General features: G+C 34.9%; 1 pseudogene; it reads right to left on the bottom strand.

The window, feature by feature from the left end:
- Positions 1 to 1,278: 1,278 nt before the first annotated feature.
- On the bottom strand, positions 1,279 to 1,458 carry LOC124903122 (uncharacterized; annotated as a pseudogene).
- Between the last annotated feature and the right edge of the window lie 2,740 nt (positions 1,459 to 4,198).

Genomic DNA, 4,198 nt, shown 5'->3' with positions numbered 1-4,198 from the left:
GTCAAATCTGAAAAAATTAATAAATTGTTAATTTCAGAGTCATGGGAGAGATTTTAATAAATTTTTAATAAAAATCAAGAGATAGGCCAAGCGCAGTGGCTCACGCCTCTAATCCCAACACTTTGGGAGGGCGAGGTGGGCGAATCACCTGAGGTTGGGAGTTCGAGACCAGCCTAGCCAACATGGTAAATCCCCTTCTCTACTAAAAATACAAAAAATTAGTCGGGCATGGTGTCAGGCACCTGTAATTCCAGCCACTCTGGAGGCTGAGGCAGAAGAATGGCTTGAACCCAGGAGATGGAGGTTGCAGTGAGACGAGCTGGCACCATTGCACTCCAGCTTGGGCAACAAGAGAGAAACTCCATCTCAAAAAACAAAACAAAACAAAACAAAAACAAGAGATAAAGAAAACAAGAATACAAATAAAGATTTGAGCAATGCTCGTATAATAGAAATGTGTAAATATCTGAAGCCTAATATAGAAAACCCATCATATTATATACAAATAACATATTTACAAATAAAGAACATGTACTTCTTCACAATGATGTTTCTAGACATTTCAAAAATAAATATTTTACAGACAGTGTTACTTGAGATAATGCAGCTAAATGAGACATGAACCAATAACAAATATAGCCAGAAAACACTATATGTTGTAAACTTTACAATTATCTAAAAAAGAAAGGCCAGGCTTTTGAGGGAAAAAAGTAAATATACTTTGAAAAATAGAACTAAATGGGCCGGGTGTGGTGGTTCATTCCTGTAATACCAGCCATTTGGGAGGCTGTTGCGGGTAGATCACTTGAGGTCAGGAGTTCAAGACCAGCCTGGCCAACATGGCGAAACCCCAACTGTACTAAAAATATAAAAAATTAGCCTGATGTGGTGGTGGATGCCTGTAGTCCTAGATACTCGGGAGGCTGAGGGAGGAGAATCACTTGAACCCAGGAGGGTATGTTGCAGTGAGCCGAGATTCTGCCATTGCACTCCAGCCTGGACAACAAGAGTGAAACTCTGTTACACACACACACACACACACACACACACACACTCACACAAAAGAATTAAATGATAATGAGTGCATTAATTTCACATAACAAAACTTTGGAACATTTCTAACCATAATTACATTTGTGTTTTCAACAAGAACAAATTAAAATTTCATGAACTAAGAATCTAATGTAGGCAACTTAAAAGAACAAAAATTAGCCAAAGAAAATAGAAGAATGGGCATAATAAGTATAAGAGCAGAGATTAATAAAATGTAATATAATAAATATACGATCTATACCTGAGTGTCATCCAAACCAAGGATAAATTCTCTAGAAAGGATAGTATAATAGAACAGTCTTTAGCAAGGCTGACTAGGAAAATAAAGTAATAACAAAAAATAATTTATTAAACTGATGAGAACAGATGCTATACTTGATCTTAGCCAAAAGGCCAATAAATTATGGGATAATCCATTAATATGTGGATCAACATCAAAAAAGGAGAAATAATTGAAGACACAATAGAGAGAGAGAGTGTGTGTGTCTATGTATAATGAAAAAGTTTTTGTCAATAAATTTGAGAAATTCTATGCAAAGAATTTCATATAGTAATATAAAAATAAAAATTATTTCAAAAAATAGATTTAAAATTCACAATGCACTAAAACTTTTAACTTTTTAAAAAATTATTTTACTTTAAGTTCTGGGTTACATGTGCAGAACCTGCAGGTTTGTTACATAGGTATACATGTTCCAAGGTGGTTTGCTGCACCTATCAACCCATCATCTAGGTTTTTAAGCCCCGCATGCATTAGGTATTTGTCCTGATGCTCTCCCTCTCCTTACCCTCCACCCCATGACTGGCCCTGGTGTGTGATGCTCCCCTCTCTGTGTCTATGTATTCTCATTGTTCATCTCCCACTTATGAGTGAGAACATGTAGTAGTTGGTTTTCTGTTCCTGTGTTAGCAGAGAATGATGGTTTCCAGCTTCATCCATGTCCCTGCAAATGACATGAACTCCTCCTTTTTAATGGCTGCATAGTATTTTGCGATGTATATGTGCCACATTTTCTTTATTCAGTCTATCATTGATGGGCATTTGGGTTGGTTCCAAGTCTTTGCTGTTGTAGATAGTGCTGCAGTAAACATACGTGTACATGTGTGTTTATAGTAGAATGATTTATAATCCTTTGGGTATATACCCAGTAATGGGATTGCTGGGCCAAATGGTATTTCTCGTTCTAGATCCTGGAGGTATCACCACACTGTCTTCCACAATGGTTGAACTAATTTACACTCCCAACAGTGTAAAAGTGTTCCTATTTCTCCACAGCCTCACCAGCTGTTGTTTCTTGACTGTTTAATAATCAGCATTCTAACTGGCGTGAGATGGCATCTCGTTGTGGTTTTGAGTTGCATTTCTCTAATAAGCAGTGATGATGAGCTTTTTTCTTATGTTTGTTGGCCACATAAATGTCTTCTTTTAAGATGTGTCTGTTCACATTCTTTGCCCGCTTTTCGATGGGGGTATTTTTTTCTTGTAAATTTGTTTAAGTTCCTTGTGGATCTTGGATATTAGACCTTTGTCAGATGGATAGATTGCAAAAATTTTCTCCCATTCTGTAGGTTGCCTATTCACTCTGATGATAGTTTCTTTTGCTGTGCGGAAGTTCTTTAGTTGAATTAGATCCCATTTGTCAATTTTGGCTTTTGTTGCAATTGCTTTTGGTGTTTTCATCATTAAGTCTTTGCCCATGCCTATGTCCTGAATGGTGTCGCCTGGGTTTTCTTCTAGGGATTTTATGGTTCTAGGTTTTACCTTTAAGTCTTTAATCCATCTTGAGTTAATTTTTATATAAGGTGTAAGGAAGGGGCCCAGTTTCAGTTTTCTGCATATGGTTAGCCAGTTTTCCCAGCACCATTTATTAAATAGGGAATCCTTTCCCCATTGCTTGTTTTTGTCAGGTTTGTCGAAGATCATATGGTTGTAGATGTGTGGTGTTATTTCTGAGGTCTCTGTTCTGTTCCTTTGGTCTATATATCTGCTTTGTTACCAGTACCATGCTGTTTTGGTTACTGTAGCCAGACAGTCTTACTTGTGAAATGTCTAAAATTTCGAAGCACTGATAAGATCTATTCTATATAAACTTTCAAAAATTTGAAAAGGTAGAGTGCAAACTTTATGAAGCTCTGTAATACTAACATCAGAACTAGATAGCAAGCTAATAAAATAACTATAGAACAAGTTTAATTTACTTAGATGAAAAAATACTAGCAAATAGTGTGACATGTTATAATCATGTAGAGGTTAATTAGGCATGCAAGAATAGGTAAATACCTGATAATCTGTCAATATGAAACTATATGTGAAAAGTTATATAGCCATCTCAAAAGTTATAGCAGAATACTTCTAATAAAATTCAATAAATATAAAAGCAAGAGACCCAGAAGTTTTCACTGATGAACTCTACCAAACATTTAAAGAAGAAATTATACCCATTCATGGCAACTCTTCCAGAAAGTAGAAGCAGATGGAATAATTTTTAAATTATTCTGAGGCAAGCATTATCCTAATACTGAAACCAAATAAAAGTGTGTTTACAAGAACGTAAAAAAAACAGACCAATCTCTTATGAACATATGTGCAAATATCTTCAACAAAATATTAGCAGATCAAATCCAACATGTACAAAAATAATTATACATGACAAGGCAGCATATATTACAAGTATAAAAAGATTCAACATTCAAAAATCAACTAATGAAATTTATCGTGTCGACAGGCTAAAGAAGAAAAATCATATATGTCAACAGATGCAGAAAAAGAATTTGATAAACTCCAACACATATTTATGATAAAAATTCTGAGTAAACTAGGAATAGAGAGAAACTTCATAACCATGATTTTTTAAAGAATTTACAAAAGCCTACAGTTAACATCATACTTAATGGCAGGAAAGAATATTTCCACCTTTAGAATAAGGCAAGACACTCCCTCTCTGCAGTGTTAGTCAACATTGTAGATAATCCAGTAAAACAAGAAAGTAAAATGTATACCAATTGAAAAGGAAGAAATAAAACTTTTATATTCTCAGATACTATGTAGAAAATGCCAAAGAATCAACAACAACAAACCTCATGGAACTAATAAGTGACTATAGCAAGGTTATAGGATACAAGGTTAATATACAAAAGTCAATTG

The sequence above is a fragment of the Homo sapiens genome, chromosome 12, assembly GCF_000001405.40.
Source record: "Homo sapiens chromosome 12, GRCh38.p14 Primary Assembly".
NCBI classification, from domain to species: Eukaryota; Metazoa; Chordata; class Mammalia; order Primates; family Hominidae; genus Homo; species Homo sapiens.
The sequence above is the reverse complement of the archived record's forward strand: the minus strand, read 5'-3'. Positions and strand labels throughout refer to the sequence as shown.